Source organism: Homo sapiens, chromosome 15 (assembly GCF_000001405.40).
Source record: "Homo sapiens chromosome 15, GRCh38.p14 Primary Assembly".
NCBI lineage: Eukaryota > Metazoa > Chordata > Mammalia > Primates > Hominidae > Homo > Homo sapiens.
The window spans coordinates 77506090-77524383 of NC_000015.10; the positions used below are offsets into that span (position 1 = coordinate 77506090).

Here is an 18294-nt window from a genome sequence, read left to right on the forward strand (position 1 = left end):
AACCCTTTAATTAATTAATACAGGACACCCAGTTAAATTTGAATTTCAGATAAACAACAAATAATTTTTTAATATAAGTAAGTATGTCCCATGAAAAGTTCAACTTTAACTGGGCATCCTCTATTTTATCTAGTGATCTCATCCATATCCCACCCCGATCCCAGCCAAGCCGTCTCTGGGAAAAGCTAGAGAAGGTTTCAGAAGGTCACGGGGCCTCGCATTAGGATCAGGGTGTCTTTAATGGGCAGTCCTCCCCTGTGCACTCCCCTCCCTCTCCACCAGTTGCTGGTTCACGATGAAGCCGCCGATGCCCCTTGCCTGCTCCGGAGGCAGTGCGTTCTCCCCGCAGGGTGATTGTGTTTATTGTCTCTGCACCAAGACAGACCTGGAGTGTGCGGCTGCCCTCTTGACTCCCTGTTCTTGCTATTCATTACCACTGCTCAGCCACTTTGCCTTTGTTGCTGAGCACCTAGAACACAATTTATTTTTCTCTTCCTCCCAAAGTGGGGGTTCTGGGAAGGAAGCCAAGGATTTGAGCCAGGGCCGCCAAAAGACAGAGCTCCGCCTCTGAGACTCCTGCCTGCCACACTGCGCCCAGCCCACGTTCCGGTTTTCACGCCTGCGGAATGGGTGTGACCTGTTCCAGCCAAAGGCAGAGGCTCCCAGACCCTGGAGGGAGCCATCTGTGGAAACAGGAAATGTCCTTGCATTCCAGCCATGGCCCTTGTAGGCGTTTCAGTGCCCCTTATGCCAGTGGGGATGTGATGAAGAGAAGGAAGGTCGGCCAGCGCCTCCACACCACACTGCAGAGGCAAAGGCCTGGGCAGCCCTGGTGTGGTTCATGCTATGTGTCCACTTGACTAGGCCACCATGCCTGTTTCTGGATGAAATTAACACTTGAATCCGTAGACTGAGTAAAGCACAGGGCCCTCCTTCATGTGGGTGGGCTCCATCCAATCAGTTGAAGGTTCGAACAGAATAAACGCCTGAGTAAGAAAGAATTTCCTCTCTGCCTGACTGTCTTCAAGCTGGGATGTCAATCTCTTCCTGCTCCCAGACTCACACTGGAACTCACACCATCAGCTTTTCTGGGTGTGGACTCCTCAGCCCCCATAATCCTGTGAGCCAATTCCTTATAACAAATCTCTCCGTGCATCATGTTGGTTCTGTTTCCCTGGAGGGCTCTGAGTAATACAGGCTTCTTCCTTCCTCTTCCCTGCTCCCCACTGTAAAAGGCAGAGTGTAGGCAGGTGCATGTACACACACCCCCCACACCCCTCCCAGAAGCAGTCAAAGGACAGGTCTCTCCAGGTGCCTCCCTCCGCTGTGCCTGGTCCTGAGGTTGGAGAATATCTTAGCTGAGGTTCCCCTGAGGAAAACTGAGTCTAGATTTATGTGAAAATGATTTCTTAGGGAGAAATCTAAGTGGGAAAGACAGTAGAGGGACAAGGAAGTGGGACGCAAGCAAAGAGAAAGAAGCCAAGCCAGGGTGTGGCATCAAGCCAAGCCACGCGAAGGGCTGCGTGTCTCATACTCCAGGGAGCTGTGGGGACACTTTAGAGGTGCCCCAATCAGGGGCAAGCGGGCAGGGGCAGTTTTACTTCCTTGCCCTCCCCAAATGGAGCACAAAAATGTCCAGGTATTTCCTGTTCTTCACAGGTGCGGGCAGAGTGGTTCTGGCAGCTCAGGGCCATTCTCCAACAGAGACAGCTGACTGTTGGGAGTGAAGGCACAGGGGTGGGTAAAGATAGGGGGTTGGAGGAGACATGAGGATGGAAAGCATGTTGTGGGGGGGCGGTGCTGAGCGTAGGTCTGGAGAGCAAGAGAGGGGCAGGTTGGGGAGGTCTTGTCTTTGGGGGGGCCCACCCCAAGCACACCTCTGTGAGTCTGAGCTTCCCTTGAAAAAAAGCCTCCCTAAAGAAGCAAGTAGCCCGCTGCACCCAAGCCCTACGCACACAGTCTCCAGGCCAAGGCTATTTTTGTTTTCCTCTAATAACAATGAGCACATTGTGCACACTTCCTGACTAATCTGCTCAGTGAGGTTGGGAGGAGGGACGGGGAGGTCCTAGGACAGAGGGCCCATCTTAGGCTGAGAACTAAGCCTGAACCGTCCAGCTAAGTCAGGTGTGGGAAAGACCCCAACTCCCAGGTCCAGCCACTGCCCCTTCCCGCCTACTCAGCACCTGCTTGTCTCATATGGCTGCTCGGGTTCTGCTGTCAGAGCAGAAGCTAAGGACCCGCCAACTCCCTTCGTTGCTTCTTGCAGGTAATAGTTGCTTCCTGAGCACCCACTGTACACCAGATCCCGTGCTAGGCCCTTTGCATGTCAGATTTCATTTTCCCTCATGCTCAGCTCTATGAATAGTGAGTGTGAGCCCATTCATTCAGACAAGGAAGCTGAAGCTTGGAAAGACTAAGTGACTGATCCAAGTGTACGCGGCTGGTCAGTGGTGGGGGCCTGTTCAAATCCAGGCCTGCTGAACCCCACCCCTGGGGTGAGGGTCTTTCTGCACCTCTGAGACCTTGTGCCCAGGAATCCACACTGAAGTCCCTAAGAGGTAGTGGCACCAAGCCAGGGCTGGACGGGTCACTTGGCAGGCCACGTATATGCTTTGGCACCAGCAAAGCAGGGCACGCCCCAAATGAGAAGTTTTGGAGAAATTATCCATTTTTAAAAATCATTGCAGACTCAATGGGAAACCCCAGAATGCTGTAAGACTTCCTGACTCTTATTCTGTGGTTTAGGACTAGCTTTATTTTGATTTGCACATGGTAAGTGGGGGATACTTGATCCTTTTTCAGGCTTAGGGCCCTGAAATAAAGGTTTTCATCTGGCCCTGCCCAACCCTGCAGGGAGGAGCTGCTTCCCATGGCCTCTTTGGCCCCTTTGTTAACTCAGCAAAGATGGATCGTGAACCTTTTATCTGCCAGGACCTGTGTAAGAGGTAGGGACACAGCAGTTTCAGCTTCCCTGCCTGCTCTTGGAGATGACCACATCTATGGACATGCTTCATAAACTGTCAAATGCTGTAATGTGGTGAACTTCTGCTTGATGCTACTGTCATGAAGCTGAAAGCCTTGCCAGGACAGCTGGGAGTCAAGGGATGGCAGTCCAGCTGAGCAGTCACCTTCATTTCCTTCCTTCCTTCCTTCCTTTCTCTTTCATCTTTCTTTCTTTCTCTTTTTTGAGACAGGGTCTCGCTCCGTCACTCAGGCTGGAGGGCAGTGGTCATGGCTCACTGCAGCCTCGATCTCTCTGGGCTCAAGCAATCCTCCCATCTCGGCTTCTCAAGTAGCTAAGACTATAGGTGCATACCACCATGCCCAGCTAATTTTTTTATATTTTGTAGGGATGGGATTACACCATGTTGCTCAGGCTGATCTTGAAATCCTGATCTCAGGTGATCTGCCTGGCCTCGGCCTCTCAAAGTGCTGGGAATACAGGCATGAGCCTCTGTGCCCAGCCGTGTGTGTGTGTGTGTGTGTGTGTGTGTGTGTGTGTGTGTGTGTGTGTGTGTCTTAAAGAACTATCCAGGCTGGGCACAGTGGCTGATGCCTGTAATCCTAGCACTTTGGGAGGCCGAAGTGGGCAGATCACCTGAGGTCAGGAGTTTGAGACCAGCCTGGCCAACATGGAGAAACCCCGTCTCTACTAAAAATACAGAAAATTAGCCAGGCATGGTGGTGCATGCCTGTAATCCCAGCTACCTGGGAGGCTGAGTCAGGAGAATCGCTGGAACCTGGGAGGCAGAGGCTGCAGTGAGCAGAGATTGCACCACTGCGCTCCAGCCTGGCGACAGAGCAAGACTCCGCCTCAAAAAAAAAAAAAAACTACCCAAATTATATATGTTTCAGGCCCCTAAAACCTGAATGCATCCAAGATCATGTTGGAAAGGCTGGCCTGTCTTTCTGGAAGGTTTCTACCAGGGTTTCCCATCATCCTTACCTTTCCTGTTTCCATCACTCACAGAGTGGCTGTTCTGTCATTCCTAGCCCCCCACAGGGGCATCTGCGGGTGTATGGGGCTGCTGCTCCTGCCCTTGGTGGGGCTTGTGACCCTAGATAGTCTTTGAGCTCCCTGAGGGTGGATTCTTCCAAACACTCACTGGAAGGCTCTGCACACAGCATGCCTCAGTGAGCTCTCTTGCCCACACCCCCAACCCTCGGGAGGTAGGCTGGGTACAGGGGCTACCTGGCTGCGCATGGATGATGACTGAAACCTGGCAGTGGGCCTGAACCAGGGCTTCTTTAGGACAGAGACACTCCTCCCCCTTCCAGTGTCCCTGTGGTGGTGGAAGCCACAGTAGCAAGCAAAACCTTTCATATTCCAGGGGCCAGGATGAAAAGGAAACCTCTAAGGCATTTGTATTTGTAAAGCGCAGCTTAAATGCACTGGGGGAGAGGAAGCTGTACTCAGCTAAGAGCTTCTGCATGAGTTGAGTCTCCTCCAGTTTCCAGCCTGACCTCCTGGGGTAGGCCTTGCCAGGTCCCCCTGAGGCCCAAGGCCCCAGCCTCCTGCCTGACCATGCTGGGTTCAGGGTTCTGGTCAGGGTTCAAGTGCTGGGTGGACCCAGGGCAACACTGTGGCCTCCAGCAGCTGCCAGCAGCTCCGGCAGTAGTCCGTCCTTGGGAGTGTGGAGGCTGAGCAGACTGGCTCATTATGGTCTGGTGGGCATCCCTGAGCCAGGGGCTGGCCCAGGAACTTCCCAGAAACACTGGAGCAGATGGGGCTGTTAAAAGGCACGTCCCTGAGCTTTCAGCCCAATTACCTGGGGCGGAAATGCGCTGAGGCCATCTGCAAACTTCTTCAAGATCCAGCCCTGTACTTGCTTGCTTCCTTCCTTCCTGAATAATTGAATAATTCCCTTAAAATTCTGTAGGACCTCCTTCCCTTCCCCCAACACTTCGTGAAAGCAGCAGAAGGGGTTAGTGGGAGCAGGGAGGTGGCCAAGTGAGGGCAGTAGCCCGTGGATTCAGGAGACTGGCTACATGCAAGGGCATTGAGCAATACATAAATATAGCGCGAAGAGTGGGAGCCAGGTTTCTTGTTGTTGGAGAAGGAAGTTGAAAATATGGAAAGGGGAGAAGTTTGAGTGAATCCTATGAGGATGGACTGGAAATAGAGGTATTGATGTGAACTTATGATTTTTAATGTATGGATCTAGAAATAAATATAAATATATGTGTATACACACACACAAATACACACACACATTCCTTGGCTCTGGACACTGAGAAGGTCTGGGAGCAACAAGCCCCCAAAATAAATGAGCAAATCTACAGCCCAGATCTGCCCCCAAATCATTCGCCACTGAAAGGAATCAGGGCTCCTTGGAGAAATGACTGATTCCAGGGCTGGGGCAGGGGAAATAGAGCACTTGAAACATCTTGTTGTTTCAGACAGAAAGTGCTCAAAGAATGATGGGGACATGTCGAAAGCACATAAGATAATATCCAGAATATATAAAGAACTCCTGTGTCCAACAACAGAAGAAACAACCCAATTAAAAAGGACTTCAATAGACGTTTCTCCAAAGAAGATATACAAATGGCTGATAAGAACATGAAAAACGATCACCATTGCTAATCACTAGAGAAATGTAAAGCAAACCCATAATGAGATGCCGCCTCACACCCATTAGGATGGCTACTATCAAAGAAAGAAAATAAGCATGGGTGATGATGTGAGAAATTGGAACCCTTGGGCACTGGGTTGGTAGGAATATAAAATAGTGCAGTTGCTGTGGAAAACCGTATGGCAGATCCTCAAAAAATTAAAAGTAGAATTACCATATGATCCAGCAAGTCCACTTCTGGGTATACATCCAAAAGCATTGAAAGCAGGGACTTGAAGAAATATCTGTACACTCATGTTTATAGCAGCATTATTCACAAGAGCCAAAATGTGGAAGCAGCCCAAGTGTCCCATCAACAGATGAATGGATAAACAAACTGTGGTATAACCATACTGTGGAATATTACTCAGTCTTAAACAGGAAGGAAATTCTGACACATGCTACAGCTTGGATAAAACTTGAAGACATTATGTTATGTGAAATAAGCCAGTCACAAAAGGACAAATACTATATGATTCTACTTATTTGAAGTACATAGAGCAGTCAAATTCACGGGCACAGAAAGTAGAATGGTGGTTGCCAGGGGGTGGGGGGAGGAGGCATTGTTTAATGGGTACAGAATTTCAAGTTTGTCAGATGAAGAGCCCTGGAGATGAATGGTGGTGATGGTTGCACAACAATGAGAATGTCCTTAATGCCATTGAATGGTACACTAAAGCTGTTAAGATGGTACATTTTATGTGTATTTTACCACAATTTAAAAAATAAAAATGTAAAATTAAAGAAAAAAAAGGACACAACAGCCAACTTGAAGAGGCTCCCAATGGCCACATCAGGGACAATTTGAGCATCAAAATGATGATCTGTGAGTTAATATTAACACAAGTAAGTATATGAATAAAAAATAGGGAGAAGAGAAACTCTTACTTAAAGTAGAATGCAAACTAATAAATGTAGAAGGGATAATGGAATTAGGAAATCACATTTTGCAAGCACTGTAGAAATATTTGATTTAGTCAAGAATCATTAATGGATACTAAACCTACTGGGTAAATTTTTGATGAGAAACAGGATATTTACCTAATTTCAAACTTACTCTATATAAAATATTAATTAATTAATTATAAGTTAATTAATAAGTATAATATACTCATTAATTTAACACTGGTGAAGCCTGGTAGATACCATCTTAGCCAAGGAATAAAAGTTAGTATCTCCAGTAATGGGGCAAACTGACCACGAATAACCTGACAGGATGCAATGCAAAGAACACAGCATTACTTTTGTACATTCCTGCCCAAAACACGTTAACATCAGAGCAACTTAAATTGTGAGCCATTCTACAAAATGACCAGCCTGTAACTGTTCTAGGTGTCAAGGTCATCAAAGTAAAGATGAAGGAACTGTCTAGGACTGAAGGAGAGTAAAGACATTTGACAATTAAATCAACATGTAATCATGGATAGGACCCTTTCGATATAAAGGACATTATTGGGATAATAATGAAATTGGGATGGAGTCTAAAGATTAGACGGGAGTAAGAGAGCATCCTACCTTCACTGGCTGCAATGAGGTTTGGGAGAGTGTATCTGCTTAAACTTCTTCTCAAATGGTTCAGAAAAAAATAATTCCTGTCTCTTTCTCTTTCTCTCTGTCCTTCTATCAATGCCTCTACCCTATGACCCACTCCTGGGGACAGAGCCAATAGAAAGAAGTGCTTATGTTTGCCAAAAGTCATGTAGAAGAGTATTTATAGCAGCTGTGTCATAGCCCTCAATTAGAAACTACCTGCATCAGTCCGCCTGGGCCACCTTAACAGAATGCCACAGGCTGGGTGGCCTAAACAACAGACATTTATTTCTCATAGTTCTGGCGGCTGGAAGTCCAAGATCAAGGTGCCGACCGGGTTGGCTTCTGGTGAGTCCTCTCTCTCTGGCTTGCAGATAGCTGCTTTCTCACTGTGTCCTCAAATGGCCCACTTGGTGTCTCTTTCTCTTCTTATAAGGACACCAGTTCTATTAGACCAGGGCCCCACCCTTATGACCTCATTTAACCTTCACTACCTCCTTTTTTTTTTTTTTGATGGAGTCTCGCTCTGTCGCCAGGCTGGAGTGCAGTGGTGCAATCTTGACTCACGGCAACCTCCACCTCCCGGGTTCAAGCGATTCTCCTGCCTCAGTCTCCCAAGTAGCTGGGACTACAGGCATGCGCCACCATGCCCAGCTAATTTTTGTATTTTCAGTAGAGACGGCGTTTCACCATATTGGTCAGGATGGTCTCGATCTCTTGACCTTGTGATCTGCCCACCTCGGCCTCCCAAAGTGCTGGGATTACAAGCGTGAGCCACCACACTCAGCCTTTTTTCCTACTGTCTACATAATTGCAAAGTTTAATTACTTCCTTAATGGTCCTGTCTCCAAATACAGACACATTAGGGGTTAGGACTTTATTCCATAAAATCTGTGGACACAATTTAGTCCACAACACTACTCAAATGCCCATCACCAGTAGAATGCATAAACAGTGGTGTATCTATACAATGGAAGATTCCACAGCAGACAGCATGAATTAATTATTAATACACGCAACAATGTGGGTGAATTTCACAGACATAATCTTAAGCAAAATAATCCAGGCACAAAAGAACATATACTATATAATTTCATTTCTATGAAGGTCAAGAACAGGCAAAACTAAGCTATACCAAAGTCGATTTAATGATAGGTGGGTACTGCCAGAAAGGCACATAAAGAAGATCTCGGAGATACTGAAATGGATAGTGGCTACACACATGTTTGCATATATAAAAATCATTCAAGCTGTACATGTAAGATGTGGATGGTTTACTCTATAAAAGTTACACCTCCTGTTTCAAAAAGTGAAGTGTGGAGTGAAGTGTTGAAGGGAACAGCATGAACTGAAATAAGGTTAGTGTGTATGCCATGGAGAAGGATGAGGTGTGGGAAGAGGCTAGGGAGGGAGGCAGGCCCTGATACTAGACCTTTGTGGAATTTGGATTTTGGGGGAAAATGGGAAGCTGTGGAAGCTATAGAAGGGGTCTAAGAGGGAAGCGACATAATCACATTGCATTGTACAAAGGCCTCTCTGGCTACAGAGGGCGCAGCAGCTTAGAGGGGCCCGAGTCGGGGCAGGCAGACCAGTCATGAGGCTGCTGTGGTCCCAGCTCGGGGTGGCGGTGGCTTGACTCTGCATGTGCTGTGGGGATGCAGAGCAGCAGGCAGCTTTGCAGAATTGTCAGGTTGATGATAAATCGTAGGTGGGGCAAGGGATATACAAGGAGTCCTAGAAATGTCCAGGTTTTTTCCTTGAGTGACTGGGCAGATTGTGAAGCATTTCCTGAGATGGGGAATATTGGAGGGGAGGAGGTTTTGGGGACAGTGGAGGAGGATGTGGCTTGGTCATGGTTGGGTTGAGTTTGAGATCCCCATGGAAGCAGTAGGAAATAAATCAGGAGAACCCAAAGACAATGGGCTTGAATGCCTGCCCTAGGGGCAAGACGGGTACACAAATGAGGGGAGTGGCCAGTGGGTACAATAGACAGTGGTGGAGACTGTGGAAAAGGGGGAGTGTATGTCTTTTGTGAAGGAGGCAGCCGCCAGCTAAAGCTGATTTAGGATAAACGCCCAGCAGTACTGGCCTTCCAAGTGTTCAAGAGAGGGTGGAAGTCTGGATTTCGATATGAAATCTGCTGTTTTTTTTAAAAAAAGTTATCTTATTTTTAAATATTTATTTATTTATTTATTTGAGGCTGGGCTGTGAGACTGGCTAAGTTTTGTATTTTTGGTAGAGATAGGGTTTCCCCATGTTGCACAGGCTGGTCTTGAAGTCCTGGGCTCAAGCGATCCTCCTACCTGCTGCCTCCCAAAGTGCTTGGATTACAGGCATGAGCCACCATGCCTCGCCTGAAAACTGCTGATTAAAAAAATATATTTTTTAAATGGAAGGATACATGCAGAAAAACATAAATGTTAAGCACACAGCTTGAAGGGTGATCACGAAGTGAATTCACTCATGCTGATTTTCAAAACACTCCAAACATTGTAGGCCAAACAGAACATACCTGCATGAACATGGGGCCACCATTTGGGAAACCTGAGACAGAGGTTTGAGAAGGAATGTGGCTGGCCTTGGGGGCAGGGTTGTGGGTGAGACAGAAGGAGCAAGTGGATAGTGAGGGGGAAAGAGTGGCAGTGGATCTGTGAGCAAGGCCAGATCCGATTCAAAGGTGTGGGGAGAAGAGGAGCCTGCAAGGGTCCCATGACACCCTCCAGGGGCCCTTAGTCTCTAGTGGGCTGATGCTGCAAGTTGCAGATGTGGAGTTGGGCCACCCAGGGAGGCATCAAGGAGGAGGTGGTCTCACACACAGAGGGGGAAAGCCTAAAGTTCCCTTAGGATCCCCTAGACACTGGGCAAGGTATAAATACTGCTCGAGGGGAATTGGATTAGAGAAATTGATGGTGCTCTGATTTCATTTTCTCTCTTGATGAAAAATGTATGACTTTTACACCGTGGCAAAACAAGAAGCACACGGCTGGCCATGGTGAATGGCCAGCACAGTCATCGCTGGCAACGATGGCATGCATAGTCAAGGTTGTGAACTTTTGCCAGCTCACCATTTCTCACAGTTAAGATAGTTATTTGAGCCGGGTGCAGTGACTCCCACCTGTAAGTCCTGGCTACTCGGGAGACTGAGGTGGGAGGATATCTTGAGTCCAGGAGTTCAAGGCTGCAATGAGCCATGATCAAGTTGCTGCACTTCAGCTTGGGCAACAGAGCAAGACCCTGTGTTTGAAAAAGAAACAAAGATATTTTTCTCCTCTAGGATGCGATGAGGTCACACATCCTCCACTGTACCACCCCACCATGTGTGTCCCACTTGGGGCTCCAAGACCCAGACCCTCCCCAAAAGACAAACAAACCAACCAGCTCAACATGACCATCCCCCTCAAGAGTCCCCAGGGGAGATGTCTGAGTGGTGAGAAGGGCACTGAACTCCACCCCGAGGCTTTGCGAAGAGGGGAAGGCTAAGCTGAGACTTAAACAGAACTTCCCAGGGGAAGAAGGGGAGTGGGGTGTGGGCATTCCGGGAAAAGGGGACAGCAAGCGCGTAGGCTAGAAGTGAGACACAGCCTGGTTGTGTGAGACACAACGGGCAGCTGAGCTAAGGGTGTGCGACACTAAATAAGGGGACTAAGGCCAGGTGCCAGGCAGGGGCACTGCTGCAGGACCAGCAGGGTGGAGGCTGCTGTGATAGGCCGATAACCTGTCCCCATCGCCTCCCCGCAGCATGGTGGCCTCACCGTCCCGCACATGTCAGTCCCTCGTCCAGACCCCTGCTCGAGCCAGTCTTGGCACCTGGAGTTCCCTTCCCCTCCACCAATGCTCACCTTGGTCCTAGAAGACCTAGGCTCCTTGAGGCCCTGGCCAGGCCCACTTGCCTGTCTGAATCCCTGTGGGGATCCACGGGCATCCCTATCACTTAGCCTACTCCCATCCCTGCGGAGACCATCAGGGGTTGCCCCAAGCCTCTGTCAACTCTATCACATTGCAGAGGTCTTAATCCTCTACAATGTCTGTTTTTCTTTGTAGCCACTGAGGATCTCGTGGTCTACATGGGTTTCATCCACATCTGTGTTCCCAGTGCCCAGCACAGAGCAAGTCCCATAGCAGGTATTTACTGAATGCTTGTTGAATGGATGGTGAACGAGTCAACCCTTTGCATGACATGGCATCCACTGTCTGTGACCTGGAGATAGTGATGAGAATATTGCTTCACAAATGGCAGTTCGAGGGATTCTATGGCAGTATTTTATTTAAAAGCATAAATGCTGCTGAATGGATGCCGTGCTTCTGCTTGTCAGGGAGAGGAAAACAGAGGATTCCAGAAAATTGTCTCTAATTTGAGCACAATTTCACTCTTTCTGTTGACATCTCCTGGTGTACTTTGAAAAGACTGCAATTCTGTACCTTTAGCCAGGAACATCCAGTCGGGGAGATCACCAGAGCAGCTCTGTGGGCGACGGCATTTGAGGCCCAGGCCTCAGAGCTGCATGTCATGGGGCAAATGGGCACTGGGCTCAGACGACCCTTCCCCTCCCACCCAGCTTCCTGGAGACACTTCGCATACACTGTGCCTGGGGCAGCAGAAAACGCTCAGGTTCTGCAAACAGACTCACTTACTATGTGGATAATTTAGTCTGCCCAAGCCTCCCTTTCTTCTTCTGTAAAATGGGGAGAATGCCTTCCTAATAGGGTTGCTACAAACAGTAAATGAAATATTGAATGTCGGATACTTAATATAATGCCTGTCATTAGCAGATGTTAAAAAAAAATCCCTCCCCACCTATCCCTGTGTTCACTCTCATCAACACTAGCCTGGCCCCTGCCTCTGGAAACAAACCTCTCTAAGGGTCTTGGGCTGAGCAGCTGATCCCATCAAGGATGGAGCTGGCACCCAGAGTTTTCACTTTGTGAGGATTTCTTGGAGCAGGAAAAGTCTTTGGTTCAATAAGGAAGAGAGTTCAAATAGTGGAAGGCGGTGGGGGAGCCGATAGGGGAGGCTCTGTGAGCTGGGGACCTTCTAAAGGTGAGCATCTGTGATCAGCTGTGATTCTACCACGCCTGCACCAACCCCTCTCATAAACACCAGTGGTCATTATGCACTGGATAAAATCCCAGCCTTTCAGCCAAGTTTTCAAGCCTTGGTGATCTAGCCCACCTGCCTTCATTCATTCACTCCACGAACATGCCCCAGGTCCCCATCTCCACAACTGTACACAGGCTGGTCCCTGGACCTGCTACACCTTCCCTCACTCTTACCTACATTACTCACCAGCCCTTCATGTTAGAAACCATCTGTGCCCCTCCAGAACTTGGTCCACAGTTGTTTATGCTTGTGCCTTAGCTTCCGCATGGGCTCTAGGCATCTGTAGTCAGGGTCCACAACCGAGCCATCCTGAGGACACTCAGGCGGAGCCTTGCCTCTCGCTTTGCACCACACCACGGCTCAGCGTCTTCTTGGAGTGAATAAGGGACTGGGCTTCTCTACACTCAAGTCATTCCCATCTCAGAACAGTCCAGGTGCACTGAAGGAGGGAAAGCTGGGAGCACACTCCTCCCACAGGCTGTCCAAAGGGATTTGAGAGTTCCTTTGGGGGTGCTGTACTTTCTTTGCCACATAGGCATGTGGCAGCTATTTGCATGACTATCTGGCATCCTAAGTACACAAAGATGGTTTGTCTATTTCCCATCTGCTAACCTGCTTGGATGACCTCCTCCTCAGCACAGCACACAAGAGCACTAAAGTGCCCCAGGGATGCTGCAGGCAATGTCTATACCCCATTTCCTTTTAGAAACCAGCCCGGGTCACGCAGCAATAGAGCAAGCCAAATGCAAATGGCCACCTCCTGGGTCCATCCATTGTCCCTTCTGGCCTAGATCCTGCCTCAGTGATATAGAAAAAAGATGAAGGTGATCTGGAAGAGGAAGCCCTGAGATGCTGTCAAAGGAAGAAAAAGATCCAGGGTAGAAGTAGGGGAGACGACTGGCATGTGGGCAACAAACCCTGTCTTCTAAAAACACCTGTGCCCTTGAAGTAGGGAGACAAGCCCGGAAGAAAGTCCTGGAGCTCCACCAACTCCAACGCCAGTGTGCGCCTACTGCAAACGCAGGCCAAGGGTTATTGTTCCCACTTACAGATGAGAAAACTTAGATAGATCATGCTATGGTCTGAATGCTGGTGTCCCTCCAATATTCACATGTTAGAACTTGATCCCCAGTGTGATAGTATTAAGAGGTGGGGCCTTTTGGAAGTAATCGAGTCCTGAAGGCTCTGCCCTTATGAATGGGATTATGTCCTTATAAAAGAGGCTCAAGTGAGCTCCCTGGCCTCTTCTGCCACATAAGAACACAGCAACGAGACGCCATCTATGGAGCAGAAGGCAAACCCTTACCAGACACCACATCTGCTGGGGCCTTGATCTTGGACTTCCCAGCTTTCAGAACTGCAAGCAAAAAAATTCTGTTGTTTATAAATTACCCAATCTAAAGTATTTTGTTGTCATGGCAGGAAAGGACTGACAGGTCAGTGTCACATAACTCACCCAATCAGAGTGGGCAGGGTAAGGTCTTCTGATTCCAAGGCCAGAGCCAAGGGGACTAGTTTGTTAGTGATCCTGGGAAGAAGTGCTATTTGCTTATCCAGGAAATACAGATTAAAACCCCAGTACATGGGGCCAGGCACGGTGGCTCATGCCTGTAATCCCAGCACTTTGGGAGGCCAAGGCGGGTGGATCACAGGGTCAGGAGATTGAGATCATCCTGGCTAACATGGTGAAACCCCGTCTCTACTAAAACTACAAAAAATTAGCCGGGTGCGGTGGTGGGCGCCTGTAGTCCCAGCTACTCAGGAGGCTGAGGCAGGAGAATGGCATGAACCTGGGAGTTGGAGGTTGCAGTGAGCCGAGATCGCGCCACTGCACTCCATCCTGGGTGACAGAGCGAGATTCCGTCTCAAAAAGTAAAAATAAATAAATAAATAAATAAATAAATAAATAAATAAAACCCCAGTACAACACATACCCTCAGGATGGCTAAAATGAGTAAGAGAGATTTTAAAAATTTGGTGTTGGTGAGGATGTGCAGCAACTGTAACTGTGCTTTACATGGCTGGTAAGAATGCAAACTGGCATATCAACACTTTGCAAAAGCATCTAAAGACGCCTACCAAAGCTAACCATATGCAGACCCTATAACCCAGCAATTACATTTCTAGGTACCAAAAGCATTCCAGATACTAGAATTTTCATAGCACTAACTATAAAGCCAAAAAGCTGGAAATACCCAAATACCCATAAAAAACATAGGGTTTGGTTTGGTGGTTTTATTTTTTTTTGGTTTTTGTTTGTTTGTTTTGTTTTTTTGAGAGGGAGTCTCACTCTGTCGCCAGGCTGGAGTGCAGTGGTGTGATCTCAGCTCACTGCAACCTCCGACTCCCTGGTTCAAGTGATTCTCCTGCCTCAGCCTTCCAAGTAGCTGGGATTACAGGCACGCACCACCAAGCCCAGCTAATTTTTGTATTTTTAGTAGAGACGGGGTTTCACTATGTTGTCCAGGATGGTCTTGATCTCCTGACCTCGTGATCCGCCCGCCTCGGCCTCCCAAAGTGCTGGGATTACAGGAGTGAGCCACTGAGCCCAGCCAGAAAAACATAGTTGATAAAAATATCGTGGTATAAGGCCGGGAGTGGTGGCTCACGCCTGTAATCCCAAAACTTTGGGAGGCCAAGGCGGGTGGATCACGAGGTCAAGAGATCGAGACCATCCTGGCCAACGTGGTGAAACCTCGTCTCTACTAAAATTACAAAATAACTGGGCATGGTGGTGTGCGCCTATAGTCCCAGCTACTCGGGAGGCTGAGGCAGGAGAATCACTTGAACCTGGAAGACAGAGGTTGCAGTGAGTCGAGATCACGCCGCTGCACTCCAGCATGGAGGACAAAGTGGGACTCTGTCTCAAAAAAATAAAAAAATAAATAATATATATATAGTCATATAATTATAGAATATGAATGAGCAAGCTATAATTACACATAGCCATGGATAAATGTCACAAACATAATGCTGAGCAAAATGAGTCAGACACCAAAGAGCAAATATTATATGAACCCATTTACACAGTTTTCAAACCAGACATTCATCAATGGTGTTACAAGTCAGGATAGCGGCGTCCCTTAATGTGGGTAGGGACAAGAAAGGATTTCGGTGGTGCTGGTTGCATGAGGGTGCTACAGTTATGTGGTGGTGGTTACATTTTTCACGAAGTGAAAAATCATCAAGCCATACGCTTATGACTTGTACATTATGATTTCGGTATGTATGCTATTCTTCAATAAAAATGTAAGCTTACAAAAATTAAGGACAATCTCTACTAACTGAGAGAGAGTGAATCCAGGATGTATTGTTAAGTTTAAAATAGTAAAGTGCAAAACTATAACTCTAGAATGCTACTTTGTGTGTAAGAAAGAAGGGGAAATAAGAAATTATTACCCTTTTATATATTATGGAAGGGGGAATATATAAATTTATATTATATATTTATAATATATTATATTATATTATAGAAGATTATTTTTGCAAAAAGAAACACAGGAAGGATAAACGAATGAGATCAGTTACCTACAGAGGTAGGGTGGGAATGGGGTGGAAGGGATATGAGCAGAGAGCTATTTTTTCTGAGTATAAATGTTTTGTATAGTGTTGGCTTTCAGAACCACATCAGTGCTTTACCTGTTCAAACAACAACAATAATAAAGGATGGGGGAAGTCTCTAAAATGTAATACAATCAGAAACAAACAAACCTAATGCATTTCAAATGAATAACAACCACACTAAAAGGAGGGGAAAATCTGACCCAAGGGCATTTTGAACACAGTATTTTACTATATACGCCCAGACAAAAGATAAAAAAGATCTGCAAAAATGTCAGACTCTAGTTAGCAGGTTTGTTTTTTGCAGCGGTATGGTTTAGCCATTCTGAAACTTCTAGGCTTCGGCATATGAGTAAATATAATGACAATCACGGGGTCCAAGTTTCTCACTGTTGAAGAAGTGAGTTACAGGTATTGGAAGGGAGAAGACAAAAATGTACCCTTAGGTATTAAATTGAAATTGGAGGTAACCATACAAGCACATGGCTTTATATAGAGATGTTAATATAGATATGGTCATGGATATTCTACCTCCCAGATCATTCTCTCCTAAAATAAATAAGGGATCGTTGGAGAAATAGCTGATTTCCAGGACAAGTACGTGATGAACCTGAAAGTAAGAAAATGCTCAAAGAATGATGGGGAAATGTCAAAAAGACACAGGGGCCAGCTTGAAGGAGCTCCCACTGGCCAAACCTGGAACAATTTGAGCACCAAAATGAATAATGATAAGAATGAATTACAACCCACTGAATAAAATAAGAATCCCTGAGTCCATACAGAGATAACATAATAAGTATAAATAAATACATGAGGAAAAGAAAAAGCTCTTCTGTATAGTAAAATTCAAACTAATAAAGAGGAAATTCTGAGGTTAGAAAATTACATTTGACCAGCATCATAGTAATAATTGATTCAGGCAAGAATCATCAATAGATCCTGAAATTAGTGGGTGAAAAATCTGACAAAGAACTGGATATGTATATGGTCTAAAGGTAACTCACCACAAAGTACTTTTTTTTTTTGTTTGAGAGAGAGAGACAGGGTCTCACTCCTGTTGGCCAGGCTGGCATGCAGTGTGGCACAATCACAGCTCATTACAGCCTCAAACTTCTGGTGGACCCAAATGATCCTCCCACCTCAGCCTCCAGAGTAGCTGGGACTACAGGTGCATGCTACCACACCTGGCTAATATATACCTATACATATATATGATATATATAATCATATGTAAGTTATATACATCATATCATATATGTAGATATATGACATATATATAGATATATGAGACTTATCATATATGTACATATGAGATATATATTTTATATATATATATATGACTGGGTCTCACTATGTTGCCCAGGCTGCCCACAAAATATTTATTAAATAGAAATGGAAAAATAGTAACTTTATAGTGCTAGACCACACCTTAACCTGTGATCCAAATTAGTATAACTAGTAATAGGTCAAATAGACATCATGTACCTCCTGAGATGATGCACGAAGAAGGACACAACTTCACTTCTGTGATAATCCTGCAAAAATCAACAACCTGCATTTAATCATGAGGATACATCAGACAAACCCAAACTAAAGACTATTTATGTATTTATTCATTTATTTGAGACACAGTCTCTCTCTGTGGCCCAGGCTGGAGTGCAGTGGTGCGATCTTGGCTCACTGCAGGCTCCGCCTCCCAAGTTCAGGCCATTCTCCTGCCTCAGCCTCCTGAGTACCTGGGACTAAAGGCGCTCGCCACCACATCCGGCTAATTTTTTTTTTTTTTTTTTTTTTTTAGTAGAGATGGGGTTTCACCGTGTTAGCCAGGATGGTCTTGATCTCCTGACCTTGTGATCTGCCCGCCTCGGCCTCCCAAAGTGCTGGGATTACAGGCATGAGCCACCATGCCCAGCCAAGAACATTTATTAAAATAACTGGCCCACACTCTTCAAAAATGCCAAGCACATGAAAGACAAAGAAAGGCTGAGGAACAATTCCAAATTAAATATGACTAACAAGACATGACAAGTAAATGCAACCTGGGATCCTGGATCAAATCCTGGACCAAAAAAAAATTAATAAAGGATATTCTTTGAACAATTGGCAAAATTTGAATAAGAAGGCATATAGATCAGAAAATATTATTATTAATGTTAATATCCTGATTTTGATAACAAAGACAAGAAAATAACCTTATTCTTAGGAAATACACACAACTATTTTGAGCAAAAGGGCTATGATATCTGTAACTTACTTTTGAAAGGCTCAGAAAACAATGATATGTAGGACATATACATAATGTATGTATAATTATATATGCATGAAGAGAGAGACAGGGAGACAGACAGAGAGAAAGGATGATAAACCAATTGTGGTAAAATGCTAGTTGTTGGGGGATTTGGGTGAAGGGTAAATGTGAATTCTTTGCGCTGGTCTTGCAACTTTTCTGTAAGTGTGCAATGATTCCAAAATAAAGATTTAACTAACTGA

The 18294-nt window shown here is 46.2% G+C and overlaps 1 protein-coding gene across 2 annotated transcripts in view, besides 3 other annotated features; it reads left to right on the forward strand.

Moving 5' to 3' along the window:
• The window catches only part of HMG20A (high mobility group 20A), a 99163-nt gene extending 85202 nt beyond the window's left edge, over positions 1–13961 (forward strand). The window contains exons 10-11 of one of the 2 annotated variants that reach the window (XR_001751049.3): positions 11187–11267; positions 13035–13810. The gene's annotated coding sequence lies outside the window, so the exon portion shown is untranslated. Of the gene's footprint in view, positions 1–11186 lie in introns of both variants that reach the window. The other variant, XM_011521158.4, reaches the window with a different exon arrangement.
• Positions 1440–2416: an enhancer, noted in NCBI's record as "H3K27ac-H3K4me1 hESC enhancer chr15:77799871-77800847 (GRCh37/hg19 assembly coordinates)". NCBI's record gives its function as "activates a minimal SCP1, AML or CMV promoter by ChIP-STARR-seq in primed H9 embryonic stem cells {active_cell/tissue: H9 hESC(primed)}" and the evidence as "EXISTENCE:reporter gene assay evidence [ECO:0000049][PMID:30033119]".
• Positions 3393–4369: an enhancer, noted in NCBI's record as "OCT4-NANOG-H3K27ac-H3K4me1 hESC enhancer chr15:77801824-77802800 (GRCh37/hg19 assembly coordinates)". NCBI's record gives its function as "activates a minimal SCP1, AML or CMV promoter by ChIP-STARR-seq in naive and primed H9 embryonic stem cells {active_cell/tissue: H9 hESC(naive and primed)}" and the evidence as "EXISTENCE:reporter gene assay evidence [ECO:0000049][PMID:30033119]".
• Positions 4370–5344: an enhancer, noted in NCBI's record as "OCT4-NANOG-H3K27ac-H3K4me1 hESC enhancer chr15:77802801-77803775 (GRCh37/hg19 assembly coordinates)". NCBI's record gives its function as "activates a minimal SCP1, AML or CMV promoter by ChIP-STARR-seq in naive and primed H9 embryonic stem cells {active_cell/tissue: H9 hESC(naive and primed)}" and the evidence as "EXISTENCE:reporter gene assay evidence [ECO:0000049][PMID:30033119]".
• Positions 13962–18294: the final 4333 nt, after the last annotated feature.